The sequence below is a fragment of the Homo sapiens genome, chromosome 6 (assembly GCF_000001405.40).
Source record: "Homo sapiens chromosome 6, GRCh38.p14 Primary Assembly".
In the NCBI taxonomy this organism is placed as follows: Eukaryota; Metazoa; Chordata; class Mammalia; order Primates; family Hominidae; genus Homo; species Homo sapiens.
Window position 1 is genome coordinate 76706529 of NC_000006.12, and position 24099 is coordinate 76730627.

At 37.0% G+C, this 24099-nt stretch overlaps 1 long non-coding RNA gene across 1 annotated transcript in view, besides 2 other annotated features; it reads right to left on the minus strand.

Moving 5' to 3' along the window:
- Positions 1–20748, minus strand: part of LOC105377861 (uncharacterized) — a 32911-nt gene extending 12163 nt beyond the window's left edge. Inside the window, exons 1-3 of the long non-coding RNA XR_942697.3 lie at positions 19889–20748; positions 18600–18765; positions 17716–17813 (exon numbers count right to left, since the gene is read on the minus strand). This is a non-coding gene — a long non-coding RNA (uncharacterized LOC105377861). The remainder of the gene's footprint in view (positions 1–17715; positions 17814–18599; positions 18766–19888) is intronic.
- Positions 1600–1769: an enhancer, noted in NCBI's record as "experimental_94632 CRE fragment used in MPRA reporter constructs". NCBI's record gives its function as "activates a minimal promoter by MPRAs in K562 erythroleukemia cells, with activity observed for the introgressed 6:77417930 variant allele {active_cell/tissue: K562}" and the evidence as "EXISTENCE:reporter gene assay evidence [ECO:0000049][PMID:34662402]".
- Positions 2367–2893: an enhancer, noted in NCBI's record as "NANOG hESC enhancer chr6:77418612-77419138 (GRCh37/hg19 assembly coordinates)". NCBI's record gives its function as "activates a minimal SCP1, AML or CMV promoter by ChIP-STARR-seq in naive H9 embryonic stem cells {active_cell/tissue: H9 hESC(naive)}" and the evidence as "EXISTENCE:reporter gene assay evidence [ECO:0000049][PMID:30033119]".
- Positions 20749–24099: the final 3351 nt, after the last annotated feature.

Consider the following 24099-nt stretch of genomic DNA (forward strand, 5'->3'; position numbering starts at 1 on the left):
AAGAGCAGGACCAACTGTTGGGCTTACTTCTGTCCTTCCCTTCCCTCCAAGATTACGAGTTCAGGATTCCCAACTATCTTTCTATTCATTATGTTTAAAATTTTATCTCCCCAACCCCATAAGACTTTCAAAAGTTCAACTCAGCTTCTTAGCTGCTGTTTACTGCTAGGTATTTAGCCTCTTGGTTCTATGCCACTTCCAAATTGGCAGTATTTGAGGAGAAAAGCTGCATAGAATGTCTGGCTTACTTCCATGAGCTTTCTTTCTCTCCAGTATCTTAGCCGTTTATTCAAACACACAACACACACACACACACACACACACACACACATTTATATTTTGTCTAGCATATCTATTATTCTCAGTGGGACTGTGGTTAGCAAAAAGTTACTCTTCTATTGCCAGAACTGGAAATATTTGCCTCATTTTTTGACTGCTTCACAATAATCCATTGAATGAATATTCCATATTTTAACTTGGCCTGTATTGCTGGAATTTAGGTTTCCAGTCTTCTGCTATTAAAACAATGCTGCAGTGCCTAACCAAGTTATCTCACAAGTGTAAGTGAATTTTTACTTTTGATAAATAGTACCAATTGCCCCCCCATTGCAGTTATAGCAATTTTACTCCTACCATCAATATGTGATAATGCCTAGACCATCACCCCCTTGAGAACAGATTGTGTTCTTGTACTTTTTGATGGGCAAAAATGTATCACACTGCTAAGATATTTCTAATAAACTAGATTTTCATAATATAATGCAAATAATAGCAAAATAATGACAACATTTAATGCATGTTAGGTGTAGGCACATTTCTAACTGCTTTGTAATTCTTAAATATTTTAATTCCAGGCCTACCATTGGTTTATTCTTCTTCTACAGATGCTAAAACCAAGGCAAAAAGATCAATGGACCCCAAGGTCCTCAGAAGTTAACAAAATAATTGCAACACAGGATATCTGACTTCTGACTGCAGAGTCTGTGCTCTTAATTGAGTGACAGGAACCCAGATAATAAATTCAAAATAAGAATGCCTTTCCTAAAATAATCTGTCTTCCTATAATTAGAAGCCATTTAGAATGTCCACATTGTAGTAATTTCCTAGGGCTGCCATAACAGATTGCCACAAGCTAGGTGGCTTAAAATAATGGAAATTTGTTCTGTCATAGTTTTGGAGACCAGAAGTCTGAAATCAAAATGTCTTTGTCAGGGCCAGACTGCTTCTGAAGGCTTCAGGGGAGGGTATGTTCCTTGCCATTTCCAGCTCCTGGTGGCTGCTGGCATGCCTTGACTTATGGCCCTATCACTCTAATTACCAGAGTGATTCATGGTCACATTGCTTCCTCTTCTGTGACTTTTCCTCTGTGTGTCTCTGTGTGTCTCTTTCTGTTCTACCTCTGCCTCTCTTTCTTATAAAGATACATGTGCTTGATTTAGGACCCAGCCAGACTATCCAGGATAAGTTTTTCCTCTTCAGATCCTTAACTGAATCACATGTTTTACAACTGTTCACTCTTTCCTCATACAAGCTAATATTCACTAATTCTGGGAATTCAGACATGGACAAATATTTTGAAGGGGCACCCTTTAACTTACTAGATACATTTTCCATTCAACTAAAATACTTGAACCCCTTTCTTCCTTCATTCATCTATCTATTCATTCAGAAATATTCATCTAAGGCTTGCTGTATGAAAGACATTGTTCTTTCAAGGTATTAGGGAAAAGAGCAATGAAGAGAAAAGATGACAACTCTGGCTTCATGGTACTCATATTATAGTTGAAGAAGCCAAATAATATAAGAAATATGTAAATATAAGGAATGTCATCTGGTGATCAATGCTCTGGAAAAAATAATAAAGCAGAGAAGGGAGACAGAAAGTGCTGTGGGAGAGGATGGCTGACATTTTAATTGTGACATTATGGGAAGGCCTTTATGAGAAATGACTGTGGTAGACTGACAAACATCTTCCCCATAGGAAACAGGTTCAGCCTCAGAACATGTGAATGTTAACATACAGGCAAAGTTTCCTGATGTAATTAAGTTAAAGATTAAGAGACGAGGAGATTATTCTGTATTATCCGGGTAGGTGCTAAATGTTATGGTAGGTACCTTTGTAATAGAGAGGCAGAGATGATTTTATAGAGAGAGAAGAGGAGGCAATGTGACCATAGAGGTAGAGATTGGAATGGTGAGGCCACAAGTCCAGCTTCCACCAGAAGCTAGGAGAGGCAAGGAACAGATTTCCTGTAGAGCCTCTAGAGGGAGTGTGGCCTTCCCAATACCTTGATTTGGGCCCAGTGAAACATTTCATTCTGCCTTCCAGAACTGTGAGAGAATGGAATTTCTATTGTTTTATGACACCGAGTTTGTGGTAGTTTGTTATAGCAGCCATGGGAAAATAATACGATGATATTAACACAAATTCCTAAAGGAGGTAAGGGAGCAAGCCATGCGTATATATGAGGAATGGGAACCAGGCAGAGGAAGGCCTCATGTCCAATCCACCTTGAGGTGGAAGTGAGTACCCGGCATGATTGAGGAGACATTAAGGCAGCCACTGAGACTCCCTGCTGTGAGCAGGATGAGGGCAGTAGGAGATAGAATCAGAAAGATCAGAGGAATTGAAGACCCAGTCAGATGTTCATTCTTACTTCTGTGAGGTGAGGAGTCACTAAAGGGTTTCATGCACAGGATGATAAGATCTGACCCTTGCTCTGAGCGGTTCTAGATTTCTATCAGAAGGAGCCAGAACTACTCTTTGTGGTATTGTTAACAGACTGTAGGGGGCTAAGGACAGTAACAGGAAACCAATCAGGAGGCTATTGATTATGTTTAGTAGGCCACTTATGCTGAGTCTGAAGTTTATAGGAAAGGTCTGGATTGGAGATAAATACTTCTGAGTGTTATGACACTGGAAATGCGCTTTAAACTATTTCAGCATAGAGATAGGAAGTTATATATGTCTTAATTCAATTTCGCTCAAGAGACAGTTAATTTTCCTAATAGGGAATGCTTTATACACATGAAGGGTAATAACATTTAATCAAAAGGCAACTATAAGTGGTTTAGCGATTATCCCTGATCAACACCAGAGGCTTTGTGAATGTATATTAGAAGAGGATTTTCACTGGTGAACTTAGTGGCTTTTTAATGAGAATAATGAAGATGCCTGTAAATTATATGTGAATTTAGGTGTATTCAACATATACAGATCTAACTATGTTAGACTTCCCCCACTGCTTATATAGGATAATCAAGTCAGGAAAGCATTTTCCTCCTCATCTTTTAGAATGTCACTGAAGGCAGGATTCTAATGTGGTTACAGGTTAGAATATTCCAGCTGGCTGTTTCAAATATTAGGTTAACTGAATCCTGCCTCTAAAATATTTTTGGGCTAGAGAATTTTTTATGTAGGAAGTGGTTGCTTTATCACAAAACCCAGAGAATTGGGACTTTATCAAGCTGACAAAAGCAGGTTGTATAAGTGTTTTTGTGCCTGCTTATTAATAAGAGTTGGGCTTACAAATGGCAGTATATGTGGCAGAATTTAGTCTGTAATTTGCTTTTATTTAGAACCTGGCACAGTGATTGTAAGCAAATAGGAATCCTTTGTCTTCCTAATCCTCATCTTCCAGCAGCTTAGGTTCAACAGAATATTTACATTATGGTTTTAGAGCAGAAGTTCCCATGCTCAATATATACAAACTAATTTAATAGAAAGAGTCTCCTCTCTTCAGCTCAAACATGTAGGTTTAGAATTTATTTCCTTTCCCTTGCTACCTACATATTAACTAACATGTAATCTATTATCTTTCACAGAGTCACTCTGGTCACCATCTAAATGATTTTTTAACCATATTTTGTGCAAAACTTCAAAAAAGTGGATTCTTTCTTACTATAAAGTATCCTTTATACTTTATGGCATGCAAAATATTAGAGCATGGATACATTTTCCTCATGTCATACATGAAGCAATAACTGTCTAGAATAAATGAATATTATACTCAACATTCTATATTGACTTTATGATACAGTATAAAGAATAAATGTTCTGGAACACCTTTTATCCAGAAAAGTTTTTTTTAAGTTTTGTTACTTATTCATTTATTTTGAAACAATAATGAATTAAATAACAAATATAAAGTCCAGATATATAGAATCATTTTGGATAGTCTCAGATCCCAGAAAAGGTAAATTCTACCCATTCTCTAGTCTTTCTTGCTTTATACATTTGACTCTGAGATAAATGAATGAGGTTGTTGGGAGGATGTGAAAGTAGGCATTCTCTGCACTGTATTCTTACATGCAGAAACATTTCACTAGTCATTTTTCACTCTAGCTTGGGGGGTCTTTCTAATTCTAGAAGTTTGCCTTGAGACTCTGTATTATTTGCCATGTGAGGAAACTTGGGTTAAGGCTAGATAAATAACTTGCCCAGGTACATGTAGTTAGGAAGTAATAAAGTCAGAACTACAACAGAATTCTCTCTGAGTTGTGTATCTGTGCTCTTTTTATTGTCATACTACTTAATTACAGTAATCCTGAGAATTGGATAGAGAAGTTAATCATATTCATAATCCATACATGGAGAAAGTGAACTTTCTTCTTAAATGACAGAGCTCTTTAATAGTAGAATAGGCCTTTAACCAGATCTCTTTGGGTGGAATTCCCTTGTATGGACCTCTCAGAGGTCCAGTTTATGATGCATACTTTTGCTTTTCTTACCATGTCAAAGTAAGCACTCTGCAAAATTCTCCCTTTAATTCTCACTCCTGAATGCTTATAAATAAAGACTTTTTAAATCTCTGATTAGATAGGAAAATCTCTGTCACTTTCTTACTCATTTTATTTCCTTATGCCTTGCAAATTTGAGAAAATCCATTAGACAAATACATTGAGTAAAGTCACTTTAATCCAGTTTCTTAAAAAATAATTTCTATTGAACAAAGAAGAGAATTGGCTCCATCAAACATTTATTTCACCTTATCATGAAACCTCTAAAAATGTTCCTAATTTCCTTAAGGAAATTGGCTTACAGATGGTTTACTTTTATATATATAAAATCATGAATAGCTAAGAAGTTACAGTGTTTTCTTTTCTAGAGAGTAAAAGTAAACTCCATCTCATTTGTAGTGTGCAAACATAAAATCTACCATGGCATTTCACCAAATGCTCTTTTATGAATAAAAATAAAAACATTAGCCTAATTTTTCATAGTCAAAGATTAAGTCTCTTCCTTTTTGGCAGTTTATACAAATTAATTCCGTTTGGTATTTTGTTGATGAAAAGAAGATGAAGCAGGAAAAGGGGAAGGAAAGAAGAAGGAGAAAGAGGAAAAGTACAAATTAAGGAGAAAGACAACTAGAAGGAAAAATAAATATATAAATATATATATTTACATGTATTATATATACCTACATATGTATGCATAGGCAGGTACAGTCTAGTAATATTTTAAACTAAACTAATGTGATATAAATTTGTATAGTTTATGTGTTATATAAATATATGTGTACATCTATATGTGTTAACACACTTTTGTATCCTGGGAAATATGATTGTCTGAAAAGCATCTGTGATTGTGATAGGCAGAATTCTAAGAGGATCTCCAAGATTTCTGGCCTCTGTATTACCCCCTCTCCTTGAGTTTGGGTGCAACTTGTGAACATGATGGGATGTCACAGCTGTGATTAGGTCATGTGATATGGCAAAAGTGAGATGATTTTGTGATGTAATTTAGGTCAAATTAGTTGATTTTGAGTTCATCCAAAAGAAGAATATCCTGGGTGGGCCAGATACAATCTTGTTAACGTTCTTAAAAATGGGTCTGGGTGCTAGGAGTGGTGGCTCCCGCCTGTAATCCCAGCACTTTGGGAGGCCGAGGTGGGCAGATCACCCGAGGTCAGGAGTTCGAGACCAGCCTGACCAACATGGAGAAACCCTGTCTCTACTAAAAATTAGAAAAAAAAAAAAATTAGCCAGGCGTGGTGGTGCACGCCTGTAATCCCAGGTACTCAGGAGGCTGAGACAGGAGAATTGCTTGAACCCAGGAGGCAGAGGTTGCGGTGAGCTGAGATTGCACAACTGTACTCTAGCCTGGGCAACAAGAGTGAAACTCCGTCTCAAAAAAAAAAAAAAAAATGATGAAGTAAGGTGCTGTATTGTGAGAGGGTCTGTGAGCAGATCACATGGTCAGGAGCTGAGATCTAGTCCTGGCCAACATCCAGCAAGAGAGCAGGATCTCAATCCAACAGCGGTATGGAATGGAACTTAATTCTGAAAACCACTTAGGTTGGTGGAAAACTTCGAACTTTAGTAAGAAATGCAGCCCCACTGATATCTTGTTTGCAGCCTGTGAGACCCTTAGCAGAGGACCTAGCTAAGTTGTGCCTGGTCTCCTGATTCACAGAAATATTACAAAAAAGTATGATTTTAAGCAACTACATTTATGGCAACTTATTACACAGCAATAAAAAACAAATGTAATAATTTATTCAGAAGTTATGTATACCACTCATTCTAATAGAACCATACAGACACTTTCTAGAATCTAGGCTTAGGTAGATACATTCCTGAGGCTCTTTCAATTCTAAAACTTTGGGCTCAGGAGGTAAGTGTCATAAACTCAAATGCATTCACAGTTGACATTGTGACATGTAGTGTGAAGTGGTCCTACAGTAAGACAACGGGTCTACACTTGTACCATTGCTATCACCAAAGGCACACTTCCTGCCTAGTTACAGTATTTTAAAACACTCTTCAGACCAAATGAAATGACCAGAAACATTCTATGATCACATGAATTTTATGGCCTGAAGAGTGAGATTCTACTCTAGGATTACCCGTTTAGAAGAATGATTGAGAGATGACATTTTATAGTCTATCTCTCTAAAATAAAATTTAAAACAATATAGTTTTTTGTGCCAAGCAGTTAGGAAATCTGATATACAAATATGTATTAAATGTATCCTGCATGTGGTCACTGTCTAGTTATTGGGAATAAAGATTTGAATAGGTTCTATTCTTCTTTTTAAATTTTTTTTTTAATTATTTTTCGAGATGGAGTTTCGCTCTTGTCGCCCAGGCTGGAGTACAATGGCGCGGTCTCGGCTCACTGCAACCTCTGCCTCCTGGGTTCAAGCTATTCTCCTGCCTCAGCCTCCCGAGGAGCTGGGATTACAGGCACCTGCCATCACGCCTGGATAATTTTTTATTTTTAATAGAGATGGGGTTTCACCATGTTGGCCATGAATAGGCTCTATTCTAAAGAAACTCACAATATACTAGGTGATAGAGATATTTAAATAAATAAATAATGATTCAGAATAAATGAATGTATGAATTCAAATTCATACCTGTTGTAGAATCCTTTCTATTAGAGAGTAAGATACTTTGTATTAGGCATCAAAATGACTTTACATAAATAAAATAGGGCAATGAACCATGTTGTTTAAGGCTGAAATGCAAATGGTTACAAAATTTTTATAGGGAGACTGAAATTCTGAAAATCTGTTTACCATTGAAATATTGATCAAGTTATTATAAATGGAAAACAATTGATGAACATTCTAAAATTCATAGTTGATTAGCTGTGTTTCTTTCCATAATTTCAGGGTAGCATCCAAAGAGTGTTAGTGAAGAATGAAATGATTATCTCAATTGGAATCATGAAGACACTTTCCTTTGCTGAACTCAATTAGCTATTTTTTCCTATCTCCTAGCAACATTTTTGTATTGTTTGAATTTATCCTAAATGAGCTAGTGTCTGTAATTTCTAGTATGCAAATGGTTTATTGAAGTTATTTTAATAGAATTAAATCATATTACAGATATCTAGCATTTTTGCCAGAATTCTCACTGATTTTGAGAAAGGGCTGGCTTATCATAGAGACGTTGTTATACAGAGAGTGAAAACAGATTTTAAAGAGTGGTTTGATCTGAAGTCTAAGAATTATTGTAGCACTTCATTTATTTTCTAATGTTTAGTAAGTACTAAATTAATATGTGCACAGGATGGAGAGCTAGGCACAGTACATGGCAATAATGCATGATTTTCCTCTTTAGTCTTAAATAATTTCTTTTACAGATTCTTGTTCATATATGCACTGTATCCAAAAGACCCTTTATGTTGATTATATTGTGAATGTATTATATATATTACTCTTCCAAGAGGATACTGTTGCCTTAAAATGCAGAAGAACCATTGTTTCATTTTTAAAATATAGTCAGGCAATAAGATTCTCTATGAAATAAACAGCTTGTACATTTAAAATGTATACAATTATTTTGTATATGTGATTTTCCATTTCTTGGTTTCTTTATTTGGGGTAAGTAGTAGAACTGCTTTGGAAGTTATTTTCTGGGCTTTATTGCTCAGATACATAATTTTTAGCACCCCTTCTGTATGAAATGCTTTCTAAATGATTATAAAGAACTCCCAATATTTTACATTCCTTGAATGTAACTTCTCTTCCATTTCCGTGTTCCAGCTATTGCCAATAATGATTAAAAAAAAGTGAAAGAAGACACTACAAAATGAAGAGAAAGGCAGAGAAGGGTAAAAATAAATGCAGAAACCAAAAAGAGGTAAATGAAAAACAGTAGTTTAAAGGAGGCCGAGAACAAGTTATAGTAATATAGGAAAAGAAACAGGAAATTGAAGCATGCCATTTATACACACAATCATAGCACCCCAAGGATGCCTTATGTCTGTGTTCTGGGTTTTGCTTAATGAGGTAATATGAGTAGAAATTACTTTCTAACCATAGTCTAGACAGATATTCTTTAATAGTCTAAGTCCATGAGTTAGCCCTTGAATCAAATCTTTAAGTTAGATTTGTAAAAACTTGGGAGAGATGAGGAACAGAGTTGTTAGATAATTTAGATAAACACAAGCTTGGTTAAGGTATATGCATAAGTCTTTTACTAAGATAAATGTTATTCTTGAGCCGGAAACCCTATCACACCACTGCCTCTTGAGAGGACTTGAAGGTCATCCCAGTGTTTCTTTATTCCCTGCCACTAAACCCTCAGAACTTAGAGGCTGACAGTTGATGACTATTAAAGATCTGTGCCAAGAATTTAAGTACTGTTCATGACAATCCACTGAAGAACTGTTAAAAATTCAGATGCTTGGGCCCTATCTAAAACCAACTAAACCTCAGAATTTCTGAGGATGAATCTAGGGCATAGGTATTTTAAAATCTTCTCATGTAATTCTATTCTTCACCCATAATTGAGAATCAATTGCCCAAGGTGACCCCTGCCTCTCTACCTGCATTTCTTTAGTAACACCTCTCTCTGAAAAGATCACAGCTCCTTTTTTTAGAAATTTTAATCTTAGAGAAGGCCCCTGATCAGAACACCTATCACATAGGTCTTTATAAATATATCAATTATTTGGGAAAAATTTTTCCAAAGAATCTTTTCAATCAAGCTGTTGGTGGTGACAATTGAAATTGTGAGAATTTTTTTGGCAAAAATGATGGTCAACGATGATGAATATTTGAGTAGACACACTGAAAAATTATGAGATATAGCATGAGCCATTTATGTTCTCAATTTGTTGTTGTAAATATGTTAAAGTTTTTCTTTTTTCATTAGCAATTGCAGTTTAGTGGCTCAGGCTTCTATAGAAGAAGTATATAATTTATTAGAACATGTCAGATAATTCTTATTAGATTACCTTTTGAGAATGCTTTCAACAGGATCATTTCTGTCAGCATACAGATGTGCTGTAATTTCTCCCATCTTAAAACAAAGCAAAGCTTTTTCTTGATTCCACATCATTTATGTCTAGTAACCCTCTCATTACTGTGACCCCTCTATAGCAAAACTTCTCTGAATTTTTTCTAACTCTTCCTCCTGTCTATTTTCTCCTGAACCAACTCACTCTCTCACAACTCTGCTGAAACTGTTCTTACAGAGGTCACCAATGATTTAGTGTTAAATCCAATGACCCTTTGACTGACACATCAACATTTTTAGAGAGAATTGATCTGTATTTCCTCCTTGAAATATTTTCTTCACCTGGCTTCCAAGACTCAATTCACGCTTACACTTTCTCTCTTACCTCATTAATCACCTTTGCAGTTTCCTTGCTTGTCCCTTTTCTTCAACCTCTGAATGTTGATGTGCCCCAGGGCTCGGTACTAGGAGCCCTTCTATTTGCCCTGTACATTCACACCTTGGTGATTGCATCCAGTGTCCTGGTTTTAAAAACTGTCTTCATTCTGGTTACACCCAAGTTTATCTTTCACACCTGAAGGTCTCCTCACTCAACACCAACAACTAGCTGTGTAATAGTTATGACAAGCATAGTACGTCCCAATCCAAACACTTGCTCTCCCCTCTACTCCTGAACCTAACTCTGCTTCAGTGCACTTTTTTCCCTTTAAATGTCAGTTTTATCCATTTAAAGAGTGGATGCCCAGGTTACCCAGGTAAAAAGAAAAAAAAAAACGCTTAGAGTCCTTCTTGATTTCTTCCTCTCTTTCACATCCCACAACCATTCTGTCGGCAAGTCATTTTTGCCTCTACATTCTAAATATACCCAGAATATGACTACTTATTACCACCTACGTTGCTGAAATCCTGGTACAAGCCACCATATTCTCTTGCCCCAGTATCCTCCTAAGTGATTTTTGTCTCTGCTCTTGCTTTCTGTCTATTCTTAGCCAAGCAAGGAAAGTATTTCTTGAAATCATCGATGAAACCACATCTTTCCTTAACATTTCACTCAGAGTAAAAGCCGATATCTACTAAATGGCTCACAAGGCTCTCATCTCTTATTCTCCACACATTTTTACCCACCCCCATAAGTTCCCACCGGCTCCTTGCTCTTCCTAGTCATACCTCAAGCCTCAAGGCTTTCCACTGCCTACTTCCTTTCCCTGTTTCACAAACATCTGCATGGTTTCAATCTTTGTTCAGTTCGCCTTTCCAGTGAAGCCAACTCTGGAAATGATAGTAAAAACTATAAACCTACTACTCTCCTCAATATTTTTTCCCCTCTCCTATGTTTTATTTCTCTCCACAGTAATCTCTGTTTTCCGGAATACACACATCTTATGTAACTTATTGTCTATTCTCCTAAATTAGAATGTTAAGCTCCATAAAGACATGAATCTTAATTGTTTTATTCATGCTATATCCTTTGCCCTTTGGATATTGCCTACCACTTATGAAATGATTAATAAAATACTTGCTAATGGAGTACATCATTTATGTAGCACCATCACTGGATCACTAGATCCATAACACAGCAATTTTTATTACTTAATTAATCAGAGACCTTACATTGATTTTATATTAGAATTCTTAATCAAATGAAATAAGATTAAATTCCAAGAACACACAGGTTTTTTTTTTCTTAGCATTGTCTGCCTGCTGTAATTTTATAGAGACTCCATGTTACCTTCGTGCTGTGTTTGCAGTTACACAAAAGTGTTAAGAGTTTACACAGAAATATGCCAACTGTAGCTTTAAAAAGAGTGTGCAATGTCTTTTGAAATCCATAACTCTCATTTCCTGCTATGCTTAATTTCAGGACCCGGAGCTATTATTAAATTTTAAAAAGTATTTTTTCTTTTACCTGGAGATCATATTGTAACATATTTATTTATTTATTTTGTGTATGTTTGTGAAGACAGTTCTAAAACCTTTGCATCAAGTCATACTCTGGGGATTCTGTTTCTGAGAATTTTTTTCCTTGATTCCTGAACTTACCATCAATATGGGAACTAATTAAATATATTTTTGAGATGGTATTTCCATCAAGCTCCCCAAAGTGACTAGAAGTGCCTAGTACTGTATATTGAGGGTTTTTATGATTCAGACATGGATGATCTAGTTATAATTTAGCTTCTGGGGGCAGTAGGTATACCTAGGAACAAGTTGGTCAATGTTGATTTGCCAGGTGTAAGGAAAACTGTTTTGTTGTTGCTGTTATCAGCATGTTCCCTGATTAGTTAATGCAGTGAGGCTGTATTTAGGTCATAAGGATGGTTTCATGGAGACATTTTTACCTGACTGTGTAAACTTATGCCACTTATTATTGTGTTCATGGGAGTAAAAGGTGGCAAGGTTGAAAGATGTCTTTCATTATAACTCCTGTTCCAGTTGCTCAAAATGTATCAAGAAACCATACGTTTCTTAAGAAACTTTTAATATTTATTTTAAGTCTATAAACAGTTTCTGAATGATGAATCTGAAAAATAATAGATTTGGTAATTTTTGTGAGTACTTTTTGTTCACAAATCACACACAAACAAATGTGTAAAGACTTGTAAATTTCCCAGATTTATCTACCAAGGGGAAAAAAGGAGGAGGTGACACTATGTTGCTATGTAGCACATGTTTACGTGTACTACAATCTGTACAAAAATTAATGACCTGCCTAGCTTCCACTTTTAGCTTTATGAAGTGAGAGAGCAGAGTTATGAAGGTAACATTTTGCTAGCCTCTTCTGAATTATCTATTTTTATTGATTCTTTTAACTCATGCTATCTTCTTGATGTCCAAAGACATCTTTCAGGTGCAGTGACAGAGGGACCTAGTATAGCTTGATTGAGAGGGTTACCATGAAAATCCTAGCAATTTAACATATAATTCCACAGTGCTCAGTATTTGTAAATTATAATAAGGGATAATTTTGGGATTATTGGAACCTCACAGTAGGTAAGGTGTATTAGCTATGATGGCGCACATAGCTTTGTGCAATTGCAAATTGTCAGAATGGTTTTTGCTCATAATATTTACTAACTACAAGGAGTACATTTTAAAAACTCAATCCCAGACAAGGGGGTCTGCCAAAATAAAAATGTACTAATAGGGGCCATTACTCTTCACATTTGAAGGCAAGTCTTGGGCGATGGAAGGAGACTATTGGCAAAGGCAAAAGAGAGTGTAGACTAGAGAAATTTCTGGTGAAAGTACAGGCACTTGAGAGCATATAATGTAAATTTGTCCACAGTTTGTGGATGCAGCAAGCACACTTAAAGTTCTTCAGACAGTGAAGACACAGTCATGTAATATGCAACTGAAGGACATAGTGTTCCTGGAGTGAAATGGACACTAAAATGTGCAAAAAGTTAGAAAAGAAAATTTTGTCTATTCTGCAGTTTTGTCCAGAATGTACTAGAAATGACAAGTATTGAGCAAATTTTCTAAACTGAAGTGGAAGCAATTGATGAGATGAGAATAGAATACTTAAAGATACATCAACGATTATCCAAGACTTTTTATATGTGTAATAAAACAACATGTACAAAATTGATTCATTACCTGCCAAATTAAAACCCATGAGATTTAACAAAAATAAAATTAAAGATGCATGCTTATTGTTACATTAACTTCAGTTGGAGAATCATATTTTAGAGGAGATGTTTATTGTTAAATTAACTTCAGTTGGAGAATCATATTTTAGAGGAGTCAGCCATAAGATGGAGGCTACATAAAACAAAAAATTTATAGCTCTGCATCGCAAGGTTCTTATTAAAGCTCTAAAGAGACAGAGGGAGCTTGATGCACTGTATTCCAAATGAATTATCTATGATAACATTGATTTAAATGATGTATCATCCTCAGAAAGAAAAAGCATGTCTTTTGGGTGCATCTTCAAATTATTTATATAAATACACATTTTAAGGGAATGTCAACATTGTTTGATTTTAGATGTATTTTCACTTTATAACATAAACTTGGCAACTCAAGTATTCTGAATTTCATTTTAATGAATCTAAAATTAATTTGATTTTCTTTATACTTTCTTGTATAACATGGATCAGTGTTTTTCCTTTTTAAAGACAAGATTTTCAGAACTTAATATTACCTAGGTCATAGTTTCTTTTATAACAGCAGAAAATCAGCACAATATTCAATTAAACTGAAGTCCAACACAAGAAAACTGCACTGTGATAGATTCTTCAGTTTCTAAACCATTTAGCTTTGGCTCCTGGGTGATCATAAAGTGTTTCCTTTATTTCAGAACACTCTGTTTTTCACTTCTACCTCTTAGAACTCGGGGGTCAACATCTACCCATCATCTCTCTCAATTTTTAAACCTGGATAATCATTTTAGAAATGGAATTTTAGTCCTTGGCACAATAGACATCTCTGTATTTCTTCCCATTCTTGTATTTATGCATTTATCTCTTTTTTTTCTGATCCAAAATGCCTGAACTGAATTAATTTTTCCTTTTGAATTGTTGCTTCCTCTTTACTTTTAAATTTTTATTTGCCTTACTGTCCTCTCTGTTATTTAGGTACAAAACTGTAAAGTTGCTTTGATTCCTGTTGTTTCCATGACCTTCCTCTCTAATTTGTGACCAAATTCATTAAGTATTATTAACTAAACCTCTGAAGGTCCTGTTACAACTCTCTCTGTCTCTAATCTTATTGGCTTTGCCCCTAGTTGGAGTTCCATGACTTTTCATCAAGCCTATTGTAATAGTTTCTAAATTGATCTCTTGTATTTACTTTTTCCTCATCTCCAATTCTTTTTATATCACAGGCTTACCATAGCAGTAATTACTTAAGTATTTCAGTTATTCTCTATATTTTTAAGAAGACGGCATTTATTAATTGAGGTATCAGGTAGCTATGTATTTCTCCTAGAACCTATACAAATTTCTCAACACTGATTACTTCTCAGCTCTTAATCTTCTTTGCCTAAAATGTGAAACTTCAAAGCACAACTTTCACTCATCTTTAATTAATTTAGTAAAAATGTATTGTTTTCTGTATTACTAAATACAAAGATTTAGTCTAGATGAACAGAGTATATAGTTGGATACTTTTTTGCCCCCAAGAAGCTTATAGCATTCCAGGGAGAGTAAATGTATACTTAAGTACCTCTAAAAAATAAAAAATACTATGAATAGATTTCAAAGAAAATTTTATTACATTCAATTTATCTATTTAACAAATATTTATTGAATGCCTACCCTGTGCCTATCACAGGGTTAGGGTTAGGGTGCCTATTGCTATGCTGTATGTTGTGGATGTAACAGCAAGCAAGGCAAAGATCTTACCCCAATGGAGCTAATATTTAAAAAGAGTTAAAAATAATACACAGATTAATAAATAAATCCATATATAGTATTTTGGAAGATGGACATAAATCATATGGAGGCAAATAAACTAGAATAAAGGAACAAAAAGTAACAATATAGTCAGGAAGTTCTTTTGGGAAGTGCTGTAAAGAAAGTTCTCTCAGAAGATAGGACTGTGTGACAGAGACCTAATGAAATGAGATAGCCAGCCACAGGAGGATATTAAGGAAGAGCATTCCAGGAAAAAGAGCAACAGTTGAAAGGGCCAAAGGGACAGTGAGCCTGGATACCCAAAGGAAATGAAGAAGGCACATCCACAGGGAGATAAATGGATTTGGAGGGTGGGTGTCAGAAGTCAAACTTGGAAGGCAGGCTCAAAAATAAAGAATATGTGACTTTATAGGCTGCTATAAGGGACTTGGGGTTGGATGGCTTTTTAAAATATTGTGTATATTTAAGGTATACAACATGGTTTTTTAGATATACATAGATAGTGAAATGTTTACTACAATCAAGGAAGTGAACATATCTATAAACTCACATAGTTTAATTTTGAAAGAATTATTCCAGGTGCTCTGTGGAAAAATTTCAAAAGGAAGTGGAATCCAGAATATCTGTGAGAAGGCTCTTGCTGAGATCTAGCCTACAGAAAATAGTTGCTTAGGCTCAGGTGATGGTTGAAAGATAAGAAATGTTCCATCCAATTCACAACTACATTTGTAAGACAGAGCTGATGACACTTGCTCAGAGTATATTGGATATGTGGTGTGATGGAAATAGAAGAATCAAAAATAATGCCTGATTTTCCTGTCTTTTTAAAAAGAAGAATGAGAGAACGTCACTTGGGAGAAGAATAGTGAAAGTTCTGTTTTGCTCATGTTAAATTTGAGATTTCTGTTAATATCCAAGTGTAGATGTAATATAGAGAGTTGACTACATCAGAGGAGAGGTCAGTGTTGGACAAAATGGAGCTAACCAATTATAGATGACATAGAAACTTTTGAGACTAGATGAGATCACTTAGAAATGAAGGTAAGAATTGGAAGAGAAGAGGCTCAAACACCAAGACCAGGAGACACTGACACGTTGACATATGGATAAGGAACATCAAAAAAAGTACTGAGATGGCACTCATAGATCTGGGATCAGAGAAAGCTTTATGTAAGGGATGTCATTTGAACCATGACTAAAGTATGGGCAGAATTTTCACAGTAATGCTGGCAGGAAGAAGTTGAGACAGTAAGGAGCTGCACCAGCAAAATAACATGGGCAGCAGTGTGGCATTTGACAAATCATTTAACCACCAGCCAGATTGGAGTAACAATTCTCTAAAAAAGCTCAATACATTTCTTATTACCATTCCTTTGTTTGGCATTATGCATCATGATAGGTTTTTTTTTCTAATGTTTTATTCCTTTTCTATTCAAAGTGTTATGGTGAAAGTAGATTAAAGCCTAGAAACTATGTTATTTCATTACAGTGGACGCAAGTTGCTATTTATTACCACTGACTTTTCACTTTCCGGAGAGGGTTCTTTGCATAGCCATGAAGTGACAGATGGCAATGATGTACCAATTATAATTAAATAACAAGTGTATCTATAGAATGGAACTCAATATAAATTCATCAAGAAGCCCTGGATATTATCATAGAGGAACTTCCACAATTTTCTGTGCTTTTTATCTTCCAAATTTATAATAAACATACATTTCTCTTGGGATTCTATATAAATTAAGCATTATTCTTGCCTGCAAAGTGTTTACCCTCTGGTACAAGGAATATGTTAAGCACATATGTTAATTGTTACACAAAGCTGACTATGCTCTTAGTATTTTTACCTCTAGCTACTGATTTAATTTTCTAGTAGTCTAAAAGTTTTTAGTTGCTGACATCCTCTTGCCTTAAACAGGCTTACACAGGCAAACACAGGCTCAGACCAAAGTGTCAGTATCCTCAGTTAGATTCTGTTTTCATTTCTCTGTCTAGTACTGCTGTTTCCCACTGAGTGTTGGTGAACACCTACACCTTCTTGTCTTATTTATGTTTACTTGTTTATTTCATTTTTTGAGATAGGGTCTTGCGTTGTCACTCAGGCTGGAGTGCAGTGGCACCATCTCAGCTTACTGCAATCTCCACCTCCCGGGCTCAAGGGATTCTCCTGCTTCAGCCTCCAGAGGAGCTGGGACTATAGGAGCATACCACCACACCTGGCTAATTTTTGTATTTTTTGTAGAGACAGGGTTTTGCCATGTTGCCCAGACTGGTCTCAAACTCCTGAATTGAGGTGATCTTCCAGCCTTGGCCTCCCAAAGTGCTGGAATTACAGGCATGATCCACTGTGCTTGGCCCACCTACACCATTTTAACACTAATTCTATCTCTAGCACACCTTTTTTCCCCAGTGAGTATGGCTCTTTACACACTGCAAATTGCTGGCCAGATATCTGCTCTTCATACACTAATGGCCTGGAAACATTAAACTACCATTGTAACATCAAGTATATCCCCTCATTCTGTCTTGTTTTAACCACACTTGGAATTTCCCGAAACAGCTGTTGTCAATGGGTCTAAGTCTACACAGATGTCACTTACTTTATGTGTTAATGTAGCTACTGTCCCTCAGGAACAGCCCTGCTGCTGGGTTGGTTTTCCTTTACCTGTCCTGGTCCTGGGTCTTCTTCCTTCTCTCTTTATTGTTGGTTGTGCTGAGGTCCCAGGATACCTTAATCAAAGCCCATCAAAACTTTGGCAATGACTATCAAAAAAGAAGTACAAAAGTGCTTAAGTAAGTGGGGACTACCTGCGCTGAGGTTGTTAATGAAAATTTTGTGTGTTGTCTCTCTGAGTCCTGGAACATGGAGGGCATGAGGAGTGGAGTTAAGCCTACTCTTCCTGACTCAGGAAAAGGGAAGCTTTGGATTATGGGGAAGAGGGCTAAAGTCTTGTGGTGATGGGAGTACTACTTTAGATTCTCCCTTTTGTTTTCAAATGAGATATTCCTCTTCTGAGTGTGCCATGAAACCTCACACTGTTCTTTGTTATACAGGGTCCACCAGGAATCAGCCATAAATAGAGAGTGGTGCCACATGATGTTAGTTCACCATCTGCTTGTTTCCTTCCTTCTTTCATGCCAAGAAAGAAGCCATGAAAATGGCTTATGTCAATCGCTTATGCTAGTTCACTTGATTATACACAACTTGAATTGGATATAAATATAATAGCAGTAAGCGTAATCTAATTCCAGCATCTAATTACTTGCAGCAATATTGTGCTTTTACCACACTATCCCAACATGTACACGTAACACTCTATTTTCAGCTGATCTCAATGCCATCAATTGGATGCTGAAGCTTTTCAGTGTTGCCTGAGGCTCTGCTTCCCATTTCTTACTCCTGCTGTACCTGTTCTTGCATTTCACTGTTATCATGAAATTTCTGGAATGCGATGTCATTATTCCCACTCACTTCCCCCATTCTCCAAGAGTTCTTCTCCCCACCCTTTCTTACTTATTGGTTTTCCAAACATATTTTTTTTACTTAACTCTTTGATGATGTCTGGAGGAAGCTCATATTCTTTCTTCTTTCTTTTGTTATTGTCATTTCCCTGGGATCCTGTCTCCACAGGCAAAGCTCATCACATTCTCTAACATAAGGCACTGATGGAGAATGTAGCACTGGAACTTGGAACTCCAAAGTTAGATAAGATTTCTGCAAATGGAGTTTAAAATGAAGACATTCTGGATGAAAGAAGTGGCGGAAGTACTGTGTTTGCTAGCAAAGCAGTCTCTTACTAAGAGGCACATTTTTTATTGTGGTAAAACCACATAAACCTGAGATACCTTATTGAAAAAGTTTTAAGTGTACAGTACAATATTGTTAAGTATAAGCCACAATGTTATACACTAGATATCTAGAACTTTTCATCTTGTACGACTGGATTTCTATATCTATATGCATTGAACAGTACCCCATTTCTGCTTCTCCCAAGCCCCTGGCAACCACCATTTTACTTTCTGTTTCTATGAGTTTGACTACTTTAGATACCTCATATAAATGGAATCATGCAGTATTTGTCTTTCTGTGACTGGCTTATTTGACTTAATATAATGTCCTTAGGGTTCACACGTGTAGCATATGATAGGATTACCTTTGTATAGATGAATAATATTCCCTTTTATGTATACATAACATTTTCTTTATCCATCAATGGACATTTAGGTTACTCTGGACAAGAGCTGCTCTACCTAAATCTTACTCAAAATTATTGCATATGAAATTGTCATTTTTATAGGTCAAAGCATTCAAATATCCAGTAATTTAATATGATTCAATATATTATATTTACAGCAACTCAAATGACGAAACATTAGTATGAACTTAAAAGTAAAGTGCAAACCTAAAGCCCATTGTTCTCTGGCAAAGTTGATGTCACTTCCTCATTAGTCAACAATCTTTTCGCGAGCAAAGGCAGTAGTTCCCAAACTTTACTGCACTTTACATTTATCCAAGGGGATTTATAAAACCAATGCCAAGGTTGGCACCCCAGAAAAGATAAATCAGAATGCCTGGAAATGGGTATTTTTTAGTATTCCAAGCTAATCCCAAAATGCATTAGTGTTTACAAACCATGTGACAAGGGAGTTTCTTTCTATAAGGCATTCTTTGTATTCTATTAATGAATGTAGGATGAATAGTCATCTCATGTCATCAAATAGGATTATCTTATTATAAATTACATTATTCTTTCTTTGAATTCACTGTTCTAGAACGTGTATAGCTAGACATTTATTCACTTATTGTCAGAGAGGATGTAGTCAGAAGACATGCTCACATATTTAGCTCTAGGTCATCTTTTCCTGCTCGTGTATCCCCTCACTTTCGTCCTGGGAAACAAGAACAATTGTAATAATAATAGATAATATGGTTTCAGTCCATGCTATATAATGCACCCAAATTAACCATTTAATATTCACAAATACTATGACAGATATGATTATTGTACTCATTTTACAGATAAGAAAACTGGTCAAAGAGGCAAGGGGCAGTTAAGGTGGCAAAGCAATGATTATGACATGGCAATCTGGCCTTAGAGCGTGAGCTGGTAACCACTATACTGTCCTGTCTTTTCATTGAATGAAGATTTCTCCTCCTTCTCTTCCTTTTTCCTTCCTCCTCCTTCTCCTTTTCTTCCTCCACTTCCTCCTCCTCCTACTTTTTGGTGTTCACCTAGCACAACATAAGATCTGCAACTGATGTCAACATCATATAACCTTATAAGTTTCCAAATCCAACCTTCTAATTACCTCTCATTGCCATACATCATGGCATGAATTTCCCTAATCCAACAGATCATAGTATTCATATTCATCTTTTGTAAATTTATTACACTTTTGCATTATTACAACATCATTTTAAGAAGCATTCAACATAGTATTTAAGGATTCTGGAGGCATGTTAGAACAAGGTCCTAGTACTTTTCCTTACTTCATTTGACCATTTGTGTTGACACAATGGCTTCAAATCACAAGCCACAGGGCTCCTACAATTACGACTTATCCACAGTAAATTTTTTCTTACAGTACAGTTCATTCTTCATCTTCTCATTTATGCTTCCACAGTCTGGAATCATTTTCTTTTTTTTTTTTTATTATACTTTAAGTTCTAGGGTACAAAGGACATGAAATCATCCTGTTTTATGGCTGCATAGTATTCCATGGTGTATATGTGCCACATTTTCTTAATCCAGTCTATCATTGATGGACATTTGGGTTGGTTCCAAGTCTTTGCTATTGTGAATAGTGCCGCTAAACCTATCAGATCCTCTTAGTGCAGAGCTGAGTTCAATTCCTGGATATCCTTGTTAACTTTCTGTCTCGTTGATCTGTCTAATGTTGACAGTGGGGTGTTAAAGTCTCCATTATTATTGTGTGGGAGTCTAAGTCTCTTTGTAGGTCTCTAAGGACTTGCTTTATGAATCTGGATGCTCCTGTATTGGGCGCATACATATTTAGGATAGTTAGTTCTTCTTGTTGAATTGATCCCTTTACTATTATGTAATGGCCTTCTTTGTCTCTTCTGATCTTTGTTGGTTTAAAGTCTGTTTTATTAGAGACTAGGATTGCAACCCCTGCCATTTTTGGTTTTCCATTTGCTTCATAGATCTTCCTCCATCCCTTTATTTTGAACTTATGTGTGTCTCTGCACGTGAGATGGGTCTCCTGAATACAGCACACTGATGGGTCTTGACTCTTTATCCAATTTGCCAGTCTGTGTCTTTTAACTGGAGCATTTAGTCCATTTACATTTAAGGTTAATATTGTTATGTGTGAATTTGATCCTGTCATTATGATGTTAGCTGGTTATTTTGCTCTTTAGTTGATGCAGTTTCTTCCTAGCATCAATGGTCTTCACAATTTGGCAAGTTTTTGCAGTGGCTGGTACTGGTTGTTCCTTTCCATGTTTAGTGCTTCCTTCAGGAGCTCTTTTAGGGCAGGCCTGGTGGTGACAAAATCTGTCAGCTTTTGCTTATCTGTAAAGGATTTTATTTCTCTTTCACTTATGAAGCTTAGTTTGGCTGGATATGAAATTCTGGGTTGAAAATTCTTTTCTTTAAGAATGTTGAATATTGGTCCCCACTCTCTTCTGGCTTGTAGAGTTTCTGCTGAGATATCAGCTGTTAGTCTGATGGGCTTACCTTTGTGGGCAACCCGACCTTTCTCTCTGGCTGCCCTTAACATTTTTTTCTTCATTTCAACTTTGGTGAATCTGACAATTTTGTGTCTTGGAGTTGCTCTTCTCGAGGAGTATCTTTGTGGCATTCTCTGTATTTCCTGAATTTGAATGTTGGCCTGCCTTGCTAGGTTGGGGAAGTTCTCCTGGATAATATCCTGCAGAGTGTTTTCCAACTTGGTTCCATTCTCCCCGTCACTTTCAGGTACATCAATCGGACGTAGATTTGGTCTTTTCACATAGTCCCATATTTCTTGGAAGCTTTGTTCGTTTCTTTTTACTCTTTTTTCTCTAAACTTCTCTTCTTGCTTCATTTCATTCATTTGATCTTTAATCACTGATACCCTTTCTTCCAGTTGATTGAATCAGCTATTGAAGCTTGTGCATGTGTCACATAGTTCTTGTGCCATGGTTTTCAGCTCCATCAGGTCATTTAAGGACTTCTCTACACTGATTATTCTAGTTAGCCATTCGTCTAATCTTTTTTCAAGGTTTTTAGCTTCTTTTCGATGGGTTCGAACTTCCTCCTTTAGCTCGGAGAAGTTTGATTTTCTGAAGCCTTCTTCTCTCAACTCATCAAAGTCATTCTCCATCCAGCTTTGTTCTGTTGCTGGCAAGGAGTTGCGTTCCTTTGGAGGGGGAGAGGTGCTATGATTTTTAGAATTTTCAGTTTTTCTGCTCTGTTTTTTTCCTATCTTTGTGGTTTTATCTACCTTTGGTCTTTGTTGATGGTGACGTACAGATGGGGTTTTGGTGTGGTTGTCCTTTCTGTTTGTTAGTTTTCCTTCTAACAGACAGGACCCTCAGCTGCAGGTCTGTTGGAGTTTGCTGGAGGTCCACTCCAGACCCTGTTTGCCTGTGTATCAGCAGCGGAAGCTGCAGAACAGCGAATATTGCTGAACAGCAAATGTTGCTGCCTGATTGTTCCTCTGGAAGCTTCATCTCAGAGGAGTACCCAGCCGTGTGAGGTGTCCATCTGCCTCTACTGTGGGATACCTCCCACTTAGGCTACTCGAGGTTCAGGGACCCACTTGAGGAGGCAGTCTGTCCATTCTCAGATCTCAAACTCCATGCTGGAAGAACCACTACTCTCTTCCAAGCTGTCAGACAGGGACATTTAAGTCTGCAGAGGTTTCTGCCACCTTTTGTTTGGCTATGCCCTGCCCCCAGAGGTGGAGTCTACAGAGGCAGGCAGGCCTCCTTGAGCTGTGGTGTTTCCACCCAATTTGAAACCTCCAGACTGCTTAGTTTACCTATTCAAGCCTCAGCAATGGCGGGCACCCTCCCCCAGCCTCGCTGCTGCCTTGCAGTTTGATCTCAGAGTGCTGTGCTAGCAATGAGCAAGGCTCCGTGGGTGTGAGACCCTCTGAGCTATGCACAGGATATAATCTCCTGGTGTGCCATTTGCTAAGACCATTGGAAAAGTGCAGTATTAGGGTGGGAGTGACCCAATTTCCCAGGTGCCATCTGTCACAGCTTCCCTTGGCTAGGAAAGGGAATTCCCTGACCCCTTGTGCTTCCCCGGTGAGGCAATGCCTTGCCCTGCTTCAGCTCATGCTCGGTGGGCTGTACCCATTGTCCTGGCCCCTCTGTCCGAAAAGCCCCAGTGAAATGAACCCAGTACCTCAGTTGGAAATGCAGAAATCACCCATCTTCTGCATTGCTCACGCTGGGAGCTGTAGACTGGAGCTCTTCCTATTTGGCCATCTTGGAACTGCCCCATCTTTTTCATATTCTTACAAAAACACACGTTTTCCAAACTTTGTTCTACATGTCAGCACGAAAGAGGTGAAAGACCAGACTGCAAAGCAGTAAGAGAAGGCATTTATTGGGATTTTAGGAATTGCAATTTTGGAGACACAGATTTGGCCAAAGGTCAAATTGAGTTCCAGAGGGAAGGGTGTAGGGGTTTATGAAAGAATGCTGAGGGTGTTTACATAAGTTATTTTGAAAGAATTATTGTTAATGGAGGTGGCTGTCTTAGTACATGAGTTCACAGTTCACTGGTTGTCACCGTTCAGGAGTTGTAGCACTGGTGAAATTCAGCTGTTTTCCAGGATATTGTGGTCACTGCCGTTTGGCTAAGTTTGAAAGGTTCAAGGCAAGTTCCTATTTTTCTCAGGTTTTTTTTTTTTTTTTTTGGTTGCAGGTTGATATGATTTGGCTCTGTGTCCCACCAAAATCTCATTTTGTAGCTCCCATAATTCCCATATGTTGTGGGAGGGACCTGGTGGGAGATGATTGTATCATGAGAATTGGTCTTTTCCATGCTGTTCTCATGATAGTGAATGGGTCTCATGAGAAGTGACGGTT